At 43.0% G+C, this 20,013-nt stretch overlaps 1 protein-coding gene across 8 annotated transcripts in view; it reads right to left on the bottom strand.

Annotated features, from left to right (window-relative positions):
* Window positions 1-20,013, bottom strand: part of BST1 (bone marrow stromal cell antigen 1) — a 71,109-nt gene that overhangs the window by 49,095 nt on the left and 2,001 nt on the right. For 7 of the 8 annotated variants that reach the window (XM_011513878.4, XM_017008566.3, XM_017008565.3 and 4 more), the window contains exons 2-8: window positions 19,438-19,564; window positions 17,433-17,568; window positions 13,190-13,272; window positions 9,718-9,794; window positions 9,280-9,372; window positions 6,086-6,172; window positions 2,145-2,204 (exon numbers count right to left, since the gene is read on the bottom strand). In XM_011513878.4, coding sequence (XP_011512180.1) covers window positions 2,145-2,204; window positions 6,086-6,172; window positions 9,280-9,372; window positions 9,718-9,794; window positions 13,190-13,272; window positions 17,433-17,568; window positions 19,438-19,564 — 663 coding nt within the window. Of the gene's footprint in view, window positions 1-1,412; window positions 1,645-2,144; window positions 2,205-6,085; window positions 6,173-9,279; window positions 9,373-9,717; window positions 9,795-13,189; window positions 13,273-17,432; window positions 17,569-19,437; window positions 19,565-20,013 lie in introns of those variants that run through there. The other variant, XM_005248185.3, reaches the window with a different exon arrangement.

The raw sequence follows: 20,013 nt of genomic DNA, 5'->3' as shown, positions 1-20,013 counted from the left end.
ATTTCTCTCTCAGTAACTCTTCAGGGCTGGTAGAGTGATGCCATGGTACAGAGGCACCCGGCTTCCTTTTGCTGTGTTACTCTGCCACGCCCAGTTGAAGACGCTCACCTCCACATCTTGTGGGCCCATATACCAGCCAGCATAAAAGGAGAAAGGGAATGTAAGTCCCTTCCTTTCAAGTGCTAAACCCAGAAATTGCACATGTCACTTGGCCACAGTGGGTAGAGAGGCTAGGATCATTATTCTTGATAGCCATGAACCATCTAAAATTCAAGGGTTCTATTACTAAATGAAAAAGAGAATAAGAACTATATGGGGATGACAAGCCAGCTCACCAGTGCATGTGCTCTCTTTCTCTCTCTCTCTCTCTCTCTTATTTTATTTTATTTTTTGAGATGGAGTTTCACACTTGTTGACTGGGCTGGAGTGCACTGGTGCAATCTCGGCTCACTGCAACCTCTGCCTACTGGGTTCAAGTGATTCTCCTGCCTCAGCCTCCCAAGTAGCTGGGGTTACAGGCACGCACCACCACTCCTGGCTAATGTTTTGTATTTAGTAGAGATGGGGTTTCACCATGTTGGTCAGGCAGGTCTTGAACTCCTGACCTCAGGTGATCCACCCGCCTCAGCCTCCCAAAGTGCTGGGATTACAGGCATGAGCCACCACACCCAGCCTGACTCTCTTTAATGTACTGGTTATTCAGATAAACATACTATTTTATGTAGTGCACACAGCAAATGCCTAGCATATAGTTACTGTGCACTCTGATTAGTTCTCTTCCCTTGTAGATGGAAGAACGGATCCTACAGGCATAGATGGTGCACCTACTATGTGCAACTGTAATGAAAAATACTAAGAGAAACACAAAGAGGAAGGCAGAGTGAGGCAGGCAGATGGTACAGAATGAACGATAGCAGGGCTAGGAAGAGTAAAGCACTGTCATCAGGTTGTGTACAAAGTCCTTGGAAGCAAAGAGAAGGGAGTTCCTCAATCAACGTGGAGAATGAGGAAAGCCTCACAGAGCAAAGAACACTTGAGTTGGATTGTCAGGATAAGTATGATGTTAGTAAATAGATTTCGGAAAAGAATTCAAGTGGAGGGATCAGAAATCTTCCTGCCCACACAAACTGAAATGACAATAATGCACTATGTTTTACCCCTAAGATGGGCTAAAATGATAGGCTATAGGTACAGGCACAGATACAGATATGGATATAGAAAATACATAGCGTGGAGGAGTGGAGAATGGGCACTCCTAGCATATACTGGTGGTGGAAGTGTATGCTGGCACAGCCTTTTTGAAACATATCAAAATTTCTCAGAACATATCAAAATTTAAAATACACACACATTCTTTGACTCAGCAACTCAATTTCTGGGAATCTATCCTACACAAATACTTGCACAACAGCTTAAAGTATATAATCAAGGATTATATTTCAGCATTGTTTATAATAGCAAAACAACTACTATAACAACATACAACCAAGCCAGCCCATGACTCAGAAAGGATTACATAAAAGGTGGTGTGGGCCAGGCGTGGTGGCTTACGCCTGTAATCCCAGCACTTTAGGAGGCCAAGGAAGGCGGATCACAAGGCCAGGAGATCGAGACCATCCTGGCTAACACGGTGAAACCCCGTCTCTACAAAAAAATACAAAAAAATTAGCTGGGCGTGGTGGCAGGCCCCTGTAGTCCCAGCTACTCGGGAGGCTGAGGCAGGAGAATGGTGTGAACTCGGAAGGCGGAGCTTGCAGTGAGCCGAGATTGCGCCACTGCACTCCAGCCTGGGCGATAGAGCGAGACTCTGCCCCCCGCCTCCCAAAAAAAAAGGTAGTGTGACCATCCTACAGATTGCTCTACAGCCACTAACAGACTAGGACAGAAGTATGAACAAACTTTAAAGGGTGGCCCCATTACACCAGCAAGTGAAGAAAGCTCACAGCAGGACGTTATGTGTAGCGTGATTGCTTTTTGTACAAAAACTAAGACAGATACATATAAATAAAAATAAGGCCAAACCAGAATCCAATGAGCACACTTACATCTGCCTCTGATAATATGTTCATGTTTGTGAACTGAAAACTTCTGAAAGGAGATGGTTATCTTTGGAAAGAACGATTTGGGTTAAGACATTTACTTACGACTTTAAGGCACAGTCAGGATGGGTGCTGTGGTCCACGCACTGTAAGAGCTTCACTGGTCTACAGAAAGAAAATAATATTTAAGGGATTATTTAAATAACTTTCATCCATCAACCATTTATGGCTTGCCTGAAAAGTCCTGGAGATACAGTAGTCTCTGACCTCAAATAATACACAAACTATTTCCTCTAAAAATATTAGTGGCCCAGCACGGTGGCTTACACCTGTAATCCCAGCACTTTGGGAGGTTGAGGCAGGAGGACTGCTTGAGACCAGGAGTTTGAGACCAGCCTGGGCAACATAGCGAGACCTTGGCTCTACAAAAAAAAAAAAAAAAAAAAATCTAAAAATTATCTGGGTGCAGACGCTCATGCCTATAGTCTCAGCTACCCAGGAGGCTGAGGCAGGAGGCCCAGGAGTTCAAGGCTGCAGTGAGCTATGATCGCACCACTGCACTCCAGCCTGGATAACAGAGTGAGGCCTTGTATCTAGAAAAACTAAAACAAATGAAAATATTAGCCAGCATTTATCAAGCACTTCCTACGTACCAAGACATTTGATTATATCTTTTGTAAGGATCATGTCATGTAATCCTCATAACAACCAAATGGAATAGGTGCTTTATCTTCTCCAATTTACAATTGAGAAAGCTGACCACAATAACCCACCCAAGTTCTCACAGTAGCAAGTTGAAGGGCTGAACTTGAACTATGCAGGCTGACTCTAGGGCCTGAGCTTCTAACCATTTCTGTATGCACGTACAACTCGTATGACCTGATAAGTACTTTGGGCAGAAGGTTGGACTTGAACCACATGGGTGATGGCCAATGCTCAGGCATCAGAGAGGAAAGCTAACTTGCTGTGCACAACAGAGGGAGAAGATGTGAAGTTCCAAGCCACCAGGAGGGGAAGGGAAGCAGCAATGAAGACAGGAGCCAGGTCTTGGTGGCACACGGGGAGTTAGGTAGGAGGCAAGCCTAGACAGGATCTCTGTGGCACGATCACTGCAGGGGACTATGGAAGAACAGGAACGTGATATTGTTGTCTCTATGGCATGCCATGTCTTCTGTCCTTGACTCAGCTACCTTTCAGTAGTGTCTACTTGATGCACATATTTTTATTTTTTATTATTATACTTCAAGTTCTAGGGTACATGTGCACAACGTGCAGGTTTGTTACATATGTATACACATGCCATGTTGGTGTGCCACACCTGTCAACTCGTCATTTACATTAGGTATGTCTCCTAATGCTATCCCTCCCCCCTCCCCCTACCCCACGACAGGCCCCAGTGTGTGATATTCCCTACCCTGTGTCCAAGGGTTCTCATTGTTCAGTTCCCACCTGTGAGTGAGAACATGCGGTGTTTGGTTTTCTGTCCTTGGGATAGTTTGCTCAGAATGATTGTGTCTAGCTTCATCCATGTCCCTACAAAGGACATGAACTCATCCTTTTTATGGCTGCATAGTATTCCATGGTGTATATGTGATGCACATATTTTTAATAAAAGTAGTTATCTGTCATTGTTTATGCCCAAAAACAGGTATGGAGTTTTCACTGAGTCTGATTCAACACAGTACTGGCAGAAACCAACCAGAAGGTAAGGGAGGCCATGAAAAGATAAGCCCCCTCCAAAATGGGCAAGAACCTCAGGGAGAACTTTCTACTGATGTGGGGCAGAAGGCAATGCCACCTGAATTGTGAGGGGCAGGAGTTTCTCACATCTGGGTTGGAGTTGGATTTGTTATGTTAACCCTCATCACTTTCCCATTTATACCTTTCATTATATCCTCTCTGCTCCTGACACTAACACAGAAACAGCCTATGGGCAATAAAGAAATGGGAGCTTCCTCATTTCTTTACTGAGTCAGGCCTGGAAGAGAAGAGCCCTGAGGCTGACTGAGGTAGGGACACAATAGAGAGGAAGCACATAAGCCCAGACCCAGGGCAGCCGTGAGGGGCAAGGAGACCTGGGCTCTGGCCCGGCTATTATAACTCAGCCCAATGACATAAAAACAAAGCAAAGTGGTTGTGAATGCAACAATTTTAGCTACAATTTTCTCCATCATTGAGCTTTTTGTTGTTGTTGTTTGTTTGTTTGTTTTTGAGGGGGCGATGGCTAGGGGTTTACTTTGTTTTATTTTGAGACCAGGTCCTGCTCTGTCACCCAGGCTAGAGTGCAGTGGCACCATCATAGCTCACTGTTCCCTTGAACTCCTGGGCTCAAGCAATCCTCCCACCTCAGCCTCCCAAATAGCTGGAACTACAGGTGCATGCCACTGCACTTGGCTATTGAGCTGTTTTGGATTAAGAACTGATTTTTTTTTTTTTTTTTGAGACAGAGTCTTGCTCTTGTCACCCAGGCTCTTGTCACCCTGGCTCACTGGAACCTCTGCCTCAAGTGATTCTCCTGCCTCAGCCTCCCGAGTAGCTGGGATTACAGGCACCAGTCACCACACGCGGCTAATTTTTGTATTTTTAGTAGAGACGGGGTTTCACCATGTTGGCCAGGCTGGTCTCGAACTCCTGACCTTGTTATCCGCCCGCCTCGGCCTTCCAAAGTGCTGGGATTACAGGTATGAGCCACTGCACTCGGCCAAGAATTGAATGTTTTTTAAAATGTACTACTGGAGCTTCAATTAAGGAAGGAAGAGCTTGGTAGCAGGAGGGAAAGAGCGTGCGTTAAGGCCATGCAAAGCTGGGTTCAAAACTCAGCTCTGTCACTGAGTTTAAAGCTTAAAGACAGATAAAACTAATTAATGGCATTATAAATCTAGAGAGTGGTTACTATGGGGGTGGTGACCAAAAGAGGCCAATGGGAGCCCCTGGGGATGCTGAGTATGTTCTGTTTATTGGTCTGAGGGCTGGTTGCAGGTATGCACTAAATGGGGGAAACTTCATCCACCTGTGTACTCATGGTTTGTATATTTTTCTGTACATAGATTATATTTCCAGAAAAGGACATTTGCCTTGTTTTGTATTTAAAAGGGGTGATAAACAACATCTAACTTTTGAGAGCACTGGCAATAATTTATGAGTAAAAGGTACAGATAACAGAACAGCCTTGAGGGGCTCCTTGTCTTGAGGAGGCATGGAGTGGGAGGGAGTGGTTCACACGTTTAGGGTGCTTTGCTCAGCTGGGAGAATGATCCAGCCCATGGGGCTGCTGGAAGGCAGAGAGTGGCAGAGAAGCAGGATAATCAAGGGTGTTAGGCAACAAAAGACCACTGACGTCATTTCCACCCAGCGACACTCAGAAATGTTCAAGAAAACCACTCAGTTTTTGCAATGTTGGATTCCAGCCCCTTGCAGAATCAGCAGGTCCACAGTCTTAGGGGCTGGGGCAGAGAGAGCCAGAGGCAGGCGTTTGAGTCCAGAGATGGCTTGCAACTACCTTAGGGCTTGAGCCAAGTTTTTTAAAAAAAAAATGTCCAAGCAACAAGGCCCACAAATGATACCTGATTATAAATATATAAAGTGTCTGGCCCATAGCTGCTCACCAAGTGGTAGTTATTATTATTTTCCTATTGGTCTGTGGTCAAGATGTGTCTGTAAATACCTCAAACAAGCTCCCACCTTAGCACCTGTCATGCACAGGGATCCCACAGAGATCCAAAGACATAGGAACCTCAGTCCCTGTACTCCAGCATCTCGCTGCACAGTAAGCACAGTGAGGAGAGAACTGGGCATGAGCAAATGAGAAAGTGCTGCTCTGTGTGTTCTTTAAACGTCCAGTGCCGTGAAGATGGACTCTGGACAGCAGTGGGTGGGGCCCTGGCCAAACTCAGGCCAGAAAGTGCTCCTTGCCTCCACACCGAGAAGCCACCCGGAAGACACCATGGCCTTCAGAGCTGAGAGCCATCAATACCCTTTCGGCAGCCCACCTCCTCCAAAATCATACACCACCTCTACAAGAGCACATTGATATATAGGCCACCTACCGGTAATCATTAATACAGCTGTACTGGAACCCCATGTCCTTCAGCCTCTTTTCCAGGACTTTCATGCTGCCTTCCCCGCAGGATTCCCTAAAACATGAAAATATATAATTAAAAAGTAAGCAAATAAGAGGAGGAAGAGGAAGTTGTTTCTGGGTTAAACATAATTTCTTTTGACCATGTGCTCCTGGATATTCTACTCTCAGAAAGAAAACTGGAATGTCTCTGGTTTAAAAAGGGCTGCTTCCGGTAAACCTGCAGGACCCAAGAGACGATGCTCTGAGGACCCCAGCACCGGGCCTGAAGCTGGGCAGCCAGGAGCACTGGGAGAGCCAGGGCCAGTGCATGTGCGTGGTGTCAGCCACCTGTGCAGTCTGTCCCCAGACAGTGACACATATCTGCAATGTGCTCCAGGGGCTCGACACAATGCTACCTGCCAATTTGTTCACCCTACACTACAGTATATTCATTTGAAGTTTTAAGTAACCACCAAAACATACAAATTTTAAAATATTAGAAAATGCAAATAAACAAAAATTTTAAAAAATTACCCCAAATCTCACACCCCTAGAGATAGCTCTGTTAACATTTTGGTGTATATAGGTCTAGTCTTTTAGAATATATTTATTTCTGCAAGATTTTAAAAATAAAGCAAAGGGTCTCTGCTATCCAATGTGTTTTGTAGTCTGCTTTAGCTCCTGTCTCTGTGTGTGTGTGTATACACAGACACACACACACACACACACACACACTTCTCTGCCATTATTTTTAGCTCCAGCATGGCCTCCCTTACATAAACAGACCATAACTCATGGAACCCGTCCTCTCTTGTTGAAGACCTAGGTTGATTCTTTCATTTCGATACCATTTACACTACAACAAACTTTGTTGCTGTGGAGTCCTAATTAGGAAAAAGGAGCCAGGCTGGCAGGAGCAGGGTAAAGCAAAAAGACAAAGCAGATAAGCTATAAGTCTACCTTCTTCATGGTCCAGGACACATAGGCTTCCTGCACAAATAACTCACAACCTTCCCATGCCCACCTATCACCAGACGCTCAGCTGATAGAAAAAGGCAAGTTAGCTCACTGCAACCTTGGCATTATCAGAACTGCACAAGTGCTCTTCAGTACACAGCACAAGCACCATTCTGCAAAATGCCCAGTAAGCCTTTGTCTCCATGCAGTCAGCTAGTCTCTTGCTGACCTGCCAGTTGCATCCTTGCAACATATTTTCATACTTTCTCTAATAAATCTATCTTTCTTTACCTACAACTGTCTTGGTAAATTCTTACCTCCCATGCCACCAGCCCAGTCACTAATTGGAACTTCATTTTCCTACACATTATTAATTATTTGTTCCCTTGGCATAAATTCATGAAAGTAGGTTTTCTAGCATCAAAGATTTGAATCCATTTTAAGGCTTTTATAGGAACAGCCAAATTACACCCTGATAAAGTATGAGAGTGGCAATTTCCCACACTCGTACCAACAGTGATTCTTGCCCACTTTCACTAATGGTCACAATTAAGCAGGGAGAATTTACAAACGCAAACAGAGGTAGATACACAACACCACCAGCTGTGGTTATTAGGCACGGTATATTACAGGCAGGACCCTGAGTTTACATGAAATGGGATGGTAAACAGCCTCACCACCATAAAATTAATAGAGGGGGAGTGTACAGGGAGGAAATGAGCAATTGGAAATTTTTACAGAAGTGGAATTCCAGGCATTATAGGAATGAAGAAAGCACAGTGTTGAATAACATCATTTTTTAGAACTTTGCCAATACCCGGGAAAATGCCTTACTCGGGGCCAGGCTCACTACTTAGAATTTCTTTTTAGTAAGCAACGACATCTAGGCTGCAGGACACCTGGACACAGAGATAAGTGAACGTGTTGTTAAAATAACTATAAAGGACGGGCATGGTGGCTCATGCCTGTAATCCTAGTACTTTGGGAGGCTGAAGCCTCAGGTGGATCACCTGAGGTCAGGAATTCAAGACCAGCCTGGCCAACATGGTGAAACCTTGCCTCCACTAAAAATACAAAAAATCAGCTGGGCGTGGTAACGGACACCTGTAATCCCAGCTACTCGGGAGGTTGAGTCAAGAGAATCACTTGAACTCGGGAGGCGGAGGTTGCAGTGAGCTGACATCTCGCCACTGCACTCCAGCCTGGGCAACAAGATAGATACATTAAAACAACAAGCAAGTATAACTTCCAGAGAGAGCAACTTCTCACAAAAATAAGACCAACGATACACGTTTTTCATGCATGCAAAAATAAGTATAATTTGTCTTCTGAGAAGGGGAATGCAGATCTTGGTATAACTTACGTAATTAAGTAGTTTGCAAATTTATCACAATCTATTGCCTAAGAGACGGGAAAAATAACCCCTTATATGGTGAGTCTTAGAAGGTCCTGGGGGCCAACACGGACACAGGGAATTCACTGAAGTTCTCCTAAACACTTTCAATGGGACCTGCACTCCTTGGGGTTAGTAATACCTTCCTCCATGTAGCACGGAGGGACTGTTCTGAAGGACAAGGCCTCAGCTTGCTTCTGAATCTCCATCATGGCTGTCCAGCTTTATTTAGGCTGTGGCCTTGTTGGCTTGTCTTTAAACCAAATCAGTTTAACTTTTTTATCTTGAGTTTGTGCCAGCAGTGCTCTTTACTGCTGAGAAGAATGAGTTTAAGTTTGCATTTACATGTAAACTCGTGCTTTCCCAGAAAATGTGGATCATAAAAGCTTTCTCAACCAGTTATTCAAGACCCAGTTGAAGAGCTGGTTGTTCTCTGAGAATGACGTCTTAATTATAGAGTCCCTAGGTTAATTCTGAGAACCAGTGGTGAGGGCTTTTGAATTTCAAATGACCAGAAGGAGAAACTGGCTTAGACCCTCACAAATGCATAAGGAACTCACCCATCCAAAGCTACCAAGGTCATTCAGAAAGGAACACTGTCTTCGCTGGCTGAGAAGAATATCCCAGATAAAGGAGGCTTTCTCTCTGGGCTCGGGACTGGCTAGTGGCATTCCCAGAAAGTCAAGCTTTTGTCTTTCTCTACCAACCCCATTAGAAGCAAAGAAGGCTGTCATTTCCCCTAAACTGAAAATGTTAAACGAACTTTATCATATTATATACAAGAAAAACAAACTTGTGCAATTATCATCATCAATATCACCATAACTTACACATTGGGTCCCCCAATTTCATGCATAACCCAGATCTCGATTCGTGTAATTTTTTCCTTCTGGAGGTTTGGAATTTCATAATCTGCAAAAAAACTGAGAAACATTTCTTGAAGCCCTAAAGCAATATGATATCTTTTCCATTTCAGTTGTTAATTTACACATTACCTTTCTTAAAAAAAAATAAAGAGCTTTTAGAAGTTTTTCTTCTTTAGCTTTTATTTTTAGGTTACTTTTTATTCCTGTATTCATCAGCTGTTAATGGTTTAACTCTATAGACATGGCTCTGATCACCAGGTCATTCATCTGTTTTGCTTTACCTGAATTTACAGAAGCACGCATGAGATGGGGACTAGGATAATTTTCTTTAGCCTCTATTTAAAACAATTAAATAAATATTTTGGCATTCTCTCTTGTGTTTGAATGTGCTGGTGTTCTTACCCTTTGATGGGATAGGCTCCTGTTGGCTCTGAACCATTCAGCATGACGTGGATCACCCCAGAACTATCCTTGGAATACTACGAGAAGAACCAAGTATTTTTAGCAAATAAAGACGTGACATTTTTCTGCTATGAAATGTGCATTTTTTACAAATTGTCAGTTCTAAATAATGGCAAGGATATGATAAATGTGGCATTTCATATGGCTTAGTAGAAATGCAAACTGGTTTATTTTGGAAAGCAAATTGCCTTGAAATGTCAAAAAACTCATAGACTCAGTAATCCATGTCTGGGAATCTACCCTAAGAAGATAATAGAAAATACACAGTATCTTATCAGCTGGAATAAACTAGCTTATGCTCCCTTAGCAAAGAACCTCGAAACTGCAGTGGCTTTAAACAACAATGATTTATATCATGCTCACACTACATGTTTATCACAGGCCCACTGGGGTTTTGTTTCAAGTGTCCTCATTCTGGGACACATCTGCAAAATATCTGATTGCCAGGAAAGGGAGGAGACAGTGACAAATCATAGACCACTTCTTAAAGGCTTCCACCCAAAAGTCACACTCCCGCTCGCAACTGATTGGCCAGTGTAAGTCACGTGTAAATAATTTCATGAGGCAGGGAGTGCAAACCGTGGGCTCAGAAGACAAGCCAGAAATATTTGGCAAACAGCACTAAGGACTACCAGGAGCACTGTGCACAGAGATGTATAGTGCAGCAATTCCTCATAATACTGAAATATTGTAACTAATACAGAATACTCAACAACAAGGGAATGGTAAGTAAACTATGATACTTAAGGGTCTGAAATCTTAACCAGCCATTAGTAAAAGTCTGTATACAAAGTATTTGCAATAGCATAGGAAGTATTTGCTTTCAAAGCAAAATTCAACAGTCATTTGAGGGGCATGGGCTCTACTGTGTGAAAAATACATGGGCTGAAGTCCAGGAATTCCCAAGGGTGAGACAGGTCCACAGAAATTCCAAAATCTCCACTTGAGAATACTACTGGAGCATGTAATTTCCCTCATAAAATGTTTATACTAGAATGAAGGAGGTGTAGAGGTGAAATATGTGGCACTGACGTATAGGTGGCTGGATTCACTCCCTAGCAAAGTGATACACAATACCAAACAATACACTCCATGTCATAGATTGCTTCCAAATAGTGCTAACAGTCATAGTTAAATTCTTAAATGCCAATACCTGATCACCACTATGCTAAACGGGTTGCCTTTAGGTGGCAGGAATGTGGGTGATTAATTTATATTTTCTATATGTGTCATTCACTATTATGAGCAGCTATTACACTGACAAAAAGAAAAAAATATTAAAAAAAAAATGTGTGCAGAGTCAGGCGCTGTGGCTCACACCTGTAATCTCAGCCATTTGGGAGACTGAGGTGGGCAGATCACCTGGGGTCAGGAGTTTGCGACCAGTCTGGCTAACATGGCAAAAACCCATCTCAACTAAAAATGCAAAAATTAGTTGGGCATGGTGACACGCACCTGTAGTCCCAGCTACTCGGGAGGCTGAGGTGTGAGAATCGCTTGAACCTAGGAGGTGGAGGTTGCAGTGAGCTGAGAATGTACCACTGCACTCCAGTCTGGGTGACAGAGACTGACTCTGTCTCAAAAAAAAAGATAAAAATAAAAATAAAAAGTATGCCAATGCAATAAGGCTGTATAACGTCGTGGTTGAAAGTCTGATCTCAAGCCAGCCTGCCTGGTTTCAAATCCTAGCTCCCCTACTTGTCAGTTCCATAATCCTGGTAAAGCTTCTTGACCTCTCTGTACCTTACTTTATTATCTGTAAAATAAGGGTGTTAAAAGTCTCTGCCTCACAGAATTGTCATAAAGATGAAACTATTTGGCCAGGCACAGTGGCTCACGCCTGTAATCCTAGCACTTTGGGAGGCTGAGGCGGGTGGATTATGAGGTCAGGAGTTCAAGACCATCCTGGCCAATATGGTGAAACCCTGTCTCTACTGAAAATACAAAAATTAGCTGGGCATGGTGGCACACGCCTGTAGTCCCAGCTACTCGGGAGGCTGAGGCAGGAGAATCACTTGAACTCGGGAGGCAGAGGTTGCAGTGAGCCAAGATCGACAGAGCGAGACTCCGTCTCAAAAAAAAAAAAAAAAAAAAAGATGAAAATATTTAAAATAATGACTGCTAACATTTATTGAATACTTGTCTGCTAAAGTTCAAATCTGCTTCCCATCACTATACCACACTACCTCTCCTCTTGCTTCGACTACAGAGCAAATGCCAAGTTCTCAAAAAATGTGGGCACTAGTATGAGATTTCCATTATAGAATTGGAGGAAGTATAAGGTGGTGGTTTGTAGCACACTCTTGGAAGTCTGGCAGATCCACTGGGTAAAATACATGGTTCCTTTACATGTAATGTTGACATCTCCCCTGAGTTACTGTTTGATCCCACTTTCAGATGATGACATCTCTGTAGCCTCCCAGTTCTCAATGAGGGGCCCTGGCAGCCACTGCCAACTGACTGGAGTCTGTGCTCAAGATGAAACCTACAGGTAGTGGGAGCAAATGGTGCTCTCTTGGGGTGGGCAGCAGAGCACAATAATAAACAGAATATGTTTTATCTGGGAGGGACCCCCTGCTTAGCTCCAAACTGCAGCCACCATGGAGGATTTGGCCAAGGTCCTTCTCACCCTGACTAACAATCAACCTAGTGGATACCTGAGGATCTAGGGTAGAAGATGGGACTGAAAAAGACATGGATAGTCCTGAAAGGGGGTTGGCGGTGGTGGGTGGAAGGGGCCTGACATCCACCTGGTCAACCTAGCTAATGTTTTATAGTCAACAGCTCTTTGCCAGGCACTGAACTAAGAACTTAACCCTCTTTATTTGTAATCTCTATTCTAATTCTCATGACAGAGAGTGTCAGCTGTAGTCACTGGCATGTTATAGCTACAGATAGCTGTCATCAACTCTGGTGACATCATTCTCTGGGAAACAGACCTACCTTCAGGGGACCATTTCTGTGTCTCCAGCTTATCCTCCATCTCCTATCAGTTCCTCTCCCATTAATATTAGTCTTGTGGACATTTCTGATCCCCACAAATTGATCTCCAGCATCCTAGGGTCTTCCATAAAGCAGGAGTTGCCCCATTTTATGTAGCAATCAAAATCATTGATTTGAAATACTAATGATAACCAGGACATAATGGAAATAATAATGACTAATTAAAACCCTCATGTATAGCTAACATTTACAGAATGTTTTCTCCGTGCCAGGCACTGCATTAAGTATTTTATTCCCTTAAATTCTCACAACTTTATATAGCAAAGAGCATGAATCATGATGTGGTAAAAGTGGAAAGTGAGGCTCAGAGAAGTTGAGTGATGACCTGGGGCCCAGACTCTGAATGACTATGTTCCATCTCTATGGGTCCCACACATGCTCAACCACTCAGATATCATCCCAGCATTACCTGGATGGATGCCCTTTTCCAAAAGGAATCCACAGGATTATTTTCACAGTCTTCTGATGTAGGGCAGGATTGGTAATCGAGTCCTAAGGGGTAAGTAGACAAACACATTTTATTCCAAAGATTATCTATCTCAGAGAAGAATTAACTTACAATATATCCCAGTTCCATGATGTATACTTAGCTTCCATTCTGTACAATGTGTACAAGTTTAACATCCACAGTTCTTCCCACTCAATCCACAAGGAGCCTGGTGAGGGACCACCTTGTCCATGATACTAAAGATGTTGGTCATTTTGCTCATCACAAATGTGAGGAAGGCAGAGAACTAAATAGCTGGCTAGTGAGTGAGTCTAGCTGACCACTGAGCATCAGTGTATTAGCTGGGTTATTTCTCAACAATGTTTAAAAACCCACAAACAACAACAACAAAAACCTTTGCTTTATTGGGAGAAGAGCCGTCTCCAAAAATTAAATTGTTAGCCATTATCTTAGTAGTAAATGCAAGGAAACAAAGGATTAAGAAAGTGATAATGCTTAGCCAGAAACAGAAATTTTATACAATTGAAAAATATATAAAATGTTAAAATGTATTACATTTTACAATGTTTAAGGACAGACTAAAGACCCTAGCAGATCAATGGGATGTGGGATGTACTTACCATATACTCTATAAAGAAAAAAAATTTCTAATCTACAAGTTGACCTCATATTCCTAGCAAAAACTGATATTAATGGCATTATTCATAATAGCCAAGATATGGAATCAATCTGTGTCCATCAACTGATTAATAGATAAAATAGACTGGGCACAGTGGCTCACGCCTGTAATCTCAGCATTTTAGGAAGCTGAGGCGGGTGGATTACCTGAGGTCAGGAGTTCAAGACCAGACTAGCCAACATGGTAAAACCCCATCTCTACTAAAAATACAAAAATTAGCCGGGTATGGTGGCACGCATCTGTAGTCCCAGCTACTCAGGAGGCTGAGGCAGGAGAATCGCTTGAACCTGGGGGGCGAATGCTGCAGTGAGCTGAGATCGTGCCACTGCACTCTGGCCTGGGTGACACACAGAGACTCCGTTTCAAAAAAAAAAAGAAAGAAAATATGGCATGTATGCATAATGCAATACTATTGAGCCATTTGCAACAACATGGATGAACCTGGAGGACATTATGTCAAGTGAAATAAGCCAGGTACAGGAAAACAAATATTGCATGATCTCACTTGAAAGTGGAATCTTCAAAAGCTGATCTCATAGAAGTTGGGGGTAGAATAGTGGCTACCAGAGGCTGGAGAGGGGAATGGATAAGGGAGATGGGAAGAGGTTGGTCAACAATATTACAGTTACATAGGAGGAATAAGTACTGGGGCTGTAATGCACAATAGAGTGGCCATAGCTAACAATAGTGTATTGTATATTTCAAAATAACTAGTAGAGAGGATTTTGAATGTCTCACCACAAAGAAATAGTAAATGTTTAAGATGATTGATATGCTAATTACCCTGATTTGATCATTACACAATGTATATATGTATAAAACATCACATTGTATGCCATAAATATATACAATTTTTTGAGTAAATCAAAAATAAAATTAAAATTAAAATTAAAAAAAGCACCAAGGCCAGGTACTGTGGCCTGTAATGCCAGTGCTTTGGGAGGCTGAGGCAGGAGGATTATTTGAAGTCAGGAGTTCAAGACCAGCCTGGGCAACATGGCAAGACCATGTGTCTACAAAAATAATTTTAAAAACAGCCTAGTGTGGTGGTGTGTGCCTGTAGTCCAGCTACTTAAGAGGCTGAGGCAAGAGGATCGCTTGAGCACAGGAGTTCAAGGCTGCAATGAGCTAGGATCACACCACTGCATTACAGCCCGGGTGGCAGAGTGAGACGCTGCCTCAAAAAATAATAATGATTTTAAAATATAAATAAATAAATAAATAAAATAAAAAAGAGCTGCTGTCAATGGTTTGGCTTTGCTATTTTCTTGACTTTTTTCTGTGTTTATTTACATAGATGTATTGTGTATATGTGTTTTTATTTGAATAGCCTCATACCAATCACAGGGTTATGTAAATTTATTTTTTGCTTAAAAACATGCCCCTTTCTGGGTCAATAAATAAAAAACCCCATCACCATTGCTGCTGGCCCCACAGGATTCCATGACATACACATATGGTTATTTAGCTGACCTGAACTGCTGGACTTCACTTCTTTCTGAAACAAAGAGCCCTGATAGGAGGGCATAGATAGAAAAGGGCAGCGAGGTGAAGAAGAAATAACTGGTGGTTTTCTGGAAGGCTCTCCCTTTCTTTATGTGTTTTTCATCACATTCCTCCCCTCCTTCTCCCCACCCTCTGCAGCATCATCAAACAAAAGCTTCCTGGAAGTTCTCCATTGAAAGAATGGCTGTGTCCATTTGACGTGGAACCTGCAATGCTGCCCATCTCACTCACAGTGAAAAGCAGAGGCCTCACAACATCCTGTGCCACCTGGCCCTCCTTTATTCCTCTAGCCTCATAGCTCACACTTTCCTCTTTGCCCACTGTCCTCTTTGCTGTTAAATATGTCACACACGCTCCCACCTCAGGGCCTTTGCAATTGCTGTTCTCCCATCAGAAAATGCTCTTTCTCATCTCCTTCAGGTCCTTGTTCAAATATCAGCTTATCAGTGAGGTTTTCCCTCGGCATCTAGGTAAAAATGCAACACTTTCCTTTCCCTGGCCCTCCACCCTCAATCTTTTTTGTCCTTATTACCTGTTTTAATTTTCTCCATAGCCCTTATAATCTTAAGGCAGTCTGTATATTTCACTTGCCTGTTTATTGTCTTATCTGCCCTCCTATAATGTAAGCATGGGGTATTAATTTCATGTTTTATTCTCTGCTGTTTTCCTACTGTCTAGAAGATGAGGGTCTGGCACATAGTAGACACTATAAATTTTAGTTTGATGGACAAATGAATGGAGGAGAAATAAACAGAACTGATATTAGGTTAACTCTTTTTTTTGTGTGTGCCGAGTCTCACTCTGTCATCCAGGCTGGAGTGCAGTGGTATGATCTCGCCTCAGTGCAACCTCCTTCTCCAGGGTTCGAGGGATTCTCCTGCCTCAGCCTCCCGAGTAGCTGTGATTACAGGCATGCACCACCATACCTGGCTAATTTTTTTGTATTTTTAGTAGAGTTTGGATTTCTTCATGTTGGCCAGGCTAATCTCGAACTCGTGACCTCAAATGATCCACCCACCTCGGCCTCCCAAAGTGCTAGGATTACAAGCGTGAGCTACCATGCCCGGCCTGATATTAGGTTAACTTTTGAAGTAACTCTGATACCCAGGAAGGATCTCCAGTCTTCATAATGGAAACACTCCCTAACCTCCTTTCCTTGCTAGCCTCCCTTCTGAAGCTTCCCTGATGATCTGGTGGAGGCTGGTGTCTCACTCTGCTACTCCTCGAACACCATTTTTCCTGCATTATAGCCCATATCACTCGAGCTGATATCCCCCATGAGGCTATAACCTCCCTGAAGATGGGGACTGCTGTGTCTCCAGCTCCTAGCACCACAGTTGGATGAATGAGGAGTGTTTGCAGAACATTCAGGCCAGCTCTTGTGACTCTAACTTTCCTTGTGACTTGGATCTCGAAATATCTGCCGGCGGCCTGGAGTGGTGTTACAGAGCACAGGCTTCAGAATCCATCAGGACAGGACTGAGACCCAGCCTTACCACTTCCAGTCATTTAACCTCCCTAAGCCTCAGCTTCCCCCTCTGGACAAATGAGGATAGTAAGGCAGAGTTGTGCAAAGTTGAGAAAATGGGCTCTGGAGTCAGACTGTCTGCTGCTTACTAGCTATGCCCCCTGAGCAGATTTCTTAATCTTGCTGTGCCTCAGTTTCCTCATTTATCAAAATGGGGATTATGATAGGATCCCATGAGGTTGTTGTGGGCATCAAATGAGTATGTGTGTATATATAGATATAGATATGTATAGATATGTATATATATGTGTATATATATGTGTATATATATATATATATATAGAGAGAGAGAGAGAGAGAGAGTGCTTAGACTGGCACCTGCAAAGTTAAGTATTCTCTAGTATTGTTATTATTAACTATTCTTGCCACTTATCTCAGAGGACTTGGAGAGGATCAAGTGAAATAAATGCATATGAAAGCATTTAGCACAAATGGTAATGCATAGTAAATAGGAGTTCTTAAGTCTCCTGTGATTTGTGCAGGAGTCTTACCAGAGTCATTTTTCTGTCGACACCAGCTCAAGAAATCTGCAACCCTGCCATACAGAACATCGCTCAGGGGCATAAAACGACGGGTGTTGTCTGCAAAGCTGTTAACAAGGAGGTGGCTATTTTCCCAGAACAGGGACTAAGGAAAGACAAACAAAACATCAAAATACAAAACAGAATCAAAACCGACTCCTCAGGCACAATATCATCAAGGCAAGTTGGGCAATCCAGTTCTCATTCAACTCTGACCTGCTGCACAACAACTGAACGTTCTTTTTCGTTGTCTTTATTTATTCATTCAAAGACTGCTAGCATCTCTCCTCCCTTTATTCCCAGGGTATCATGCAAATGTTAATGGAATATTTTCTCACTAGTACTAAATATACGTGCATGTGGTAAGATCCCCTACATTAAAAATGATCAAGGGAACTGGGCTGGAATCCTGGCTCTGTCATGTATTAGATATGTAATCTTGAGCAAGGCATGCAATCTCCCTGTTTCTCAGTTTCTACTTCTGGAAAATGCAGAGCATGAGCCCTTTCTCTTCTTCCAGAGCTGTGGCCAGGATAATAAGCAGTCACAAAAAGCACTTCCTAAAGTGTCAAGTGCCTCAAAAACACATTGCTTTTATATTATACTTTATAGTTTCCACCATAGTGTTTTTATATAACAATAACACAAATCCCCCAGTCACTATTTCATCTGACCCTCAGTAGTCCAATCAGTTTATATTTAGACTAGAAGGTCCCCAAGGGTGAGGGCTGTTTTTCACTGTTACATCCTTAACCCTTAGCACCAATGACTGGCAAACAAATAGCCCCGGAAGTATTTACTGAGTTCATCAACTAGCACCGAATCTATGAAACAGAAGGTTAAAAAGTCAGCTTCCCCACTTTTAGTGACAGGAGGGCAGCAAGGTTCAAAAGACAGCATATACTCAAAAATCATGTTTTCAGTCTATTCTATCTTTGAACCTCACAGTTCCATTTACTTGCCTTTACAAATAACACACAATGGAAAAAATCAGGTTAACAATGTTTATGTCACAGAAACAAAAATGGTGTCTAGCATTCCTTAAACTTGAGGTATTGTTTTAAGCAAGGGTTTTATGGAAATTTTCTCATTATTTTCATTTTATTAGACCTGAGAGTGTATACAGAATATAGATATGTGGTTTTCTTAAATAAACTGGTACTAAATAAATATAATCTTAAGACCCGTTAAATGGAGAGACTGGTCTCCCGGGAGGATACTGAGATTGAGAGTTTTCTGAATTACTCAAGGTTCAGGCCATTGGGCCAGTTAGGATGAAGGTTATTTAGAACTGGCCAGATGTGGAGGCCCAGTGTGACAGGTATGGCCATGTCCTGATGTCCTCATGTTGATTCTCACACTAACTTGCTAACTTAGGAAATTTTCTTCTGCCCACAACCAGCGGGAGATCTACAATCACTATTGGAAACTGATATGATTTGGATTTGTGTCTCTTGTAAAATTGTAATCCCCTATGTTGGAGGTGGGGCCTGGTGTGAGGTGATTGGATTATGGGGGTGGATTTCCCCCTTTGCTGCTGTTCTCCTGAGGGAGTTCTCAGAAGATCCAGTTGTTTACAAGCCTGTGGCACCTCCCTCTGCCCTTGGTCCTGCTCGTGCCATGTAAGACACCTGCTCCCACTTTGCCTTCTGCTGAAGTAAAAGCTCCCAGAGGCCTCCCAGAAGTAGATGTTGCCATTCTTCCTGTACAGCCTGTGGAACTGTGAACCAGTTAAACCTCTTTTCTTTGTAAATTACCCAGTCTCAGGCATTTCTTTATAGCAATGTGACAACGGACTAATACAGAAACAAAGCTAGCTTCCCACAGAGAGCTCAGCACACACATTATGTGTGCTGCCTGATGTTTCTGTGACATTGCAGGATGCAGGGGACAGCTAATGTCAACCTGGCCCATGCACCATCCATTTCTGTAGAGACAGAGAACACAGTTTTACCCAAGATGGTTGTGGTGTTACCTTATCTCTGGGAATAGAGTGCCTGGACAAGTTAATAAAAAGGTCATAGTCTGAGGGCAGCACGGAGCAGGGATCCTTGTCCAGCGCCACTTTAAAGGCTTCCCAGATGGCTGTGCAGTTCTTGTTCCTGTGCAAAAGTACAAGTTGGGAAGAACACACACATGCACATCATAATGTGTTGTGAAGTATGCCCATTTGTCTAAGAGCTTTACAAGAGATTTTTCATATAGTAACTGCAGAAGTAGGCTTACAAAAAAGACAACGAATTGTCATGGCTTAGGTGACAGATTCAGAAATCTGACACTGGAATTGTCTCTCTGAAGGCACTGCACAGATTTCTCAGAGCTAAGGAATACAGCCTTGCCCCAGGCTCACGGAGACAAGCAGAAATGGCACCGAGCAGGAGGTGACAAATTCAGTCAACTATACAGCAGGTGCCTCTTCATTTAGACCTAACGGTGGGGCCAGTCTCATAGTCCAGTTCCAGTGTGGAGCTCGGGGACCAGGTGAGGCCAGGCCAGCCAGCAGGATGTGTAGTGTTAGGAGGGAGGCCCAATGCTGCAAAAGGCTTCCACC

Source organism: Homo sapiens, chromosome 4 (assembly GCF_000001405.40).
Source record: "Homo sapiens chromosome 4, GRCh38.p14 Primary Assembly".
NCBI classification, from domain to species: Eukaryota; Metazoa; Chordata; class Mammalia; order Primates; family Hominidae; genus Homo; species Homo sapiens.
This window is presented reverse-complemented; position numbering and strand designations above follow the sequence as displayed.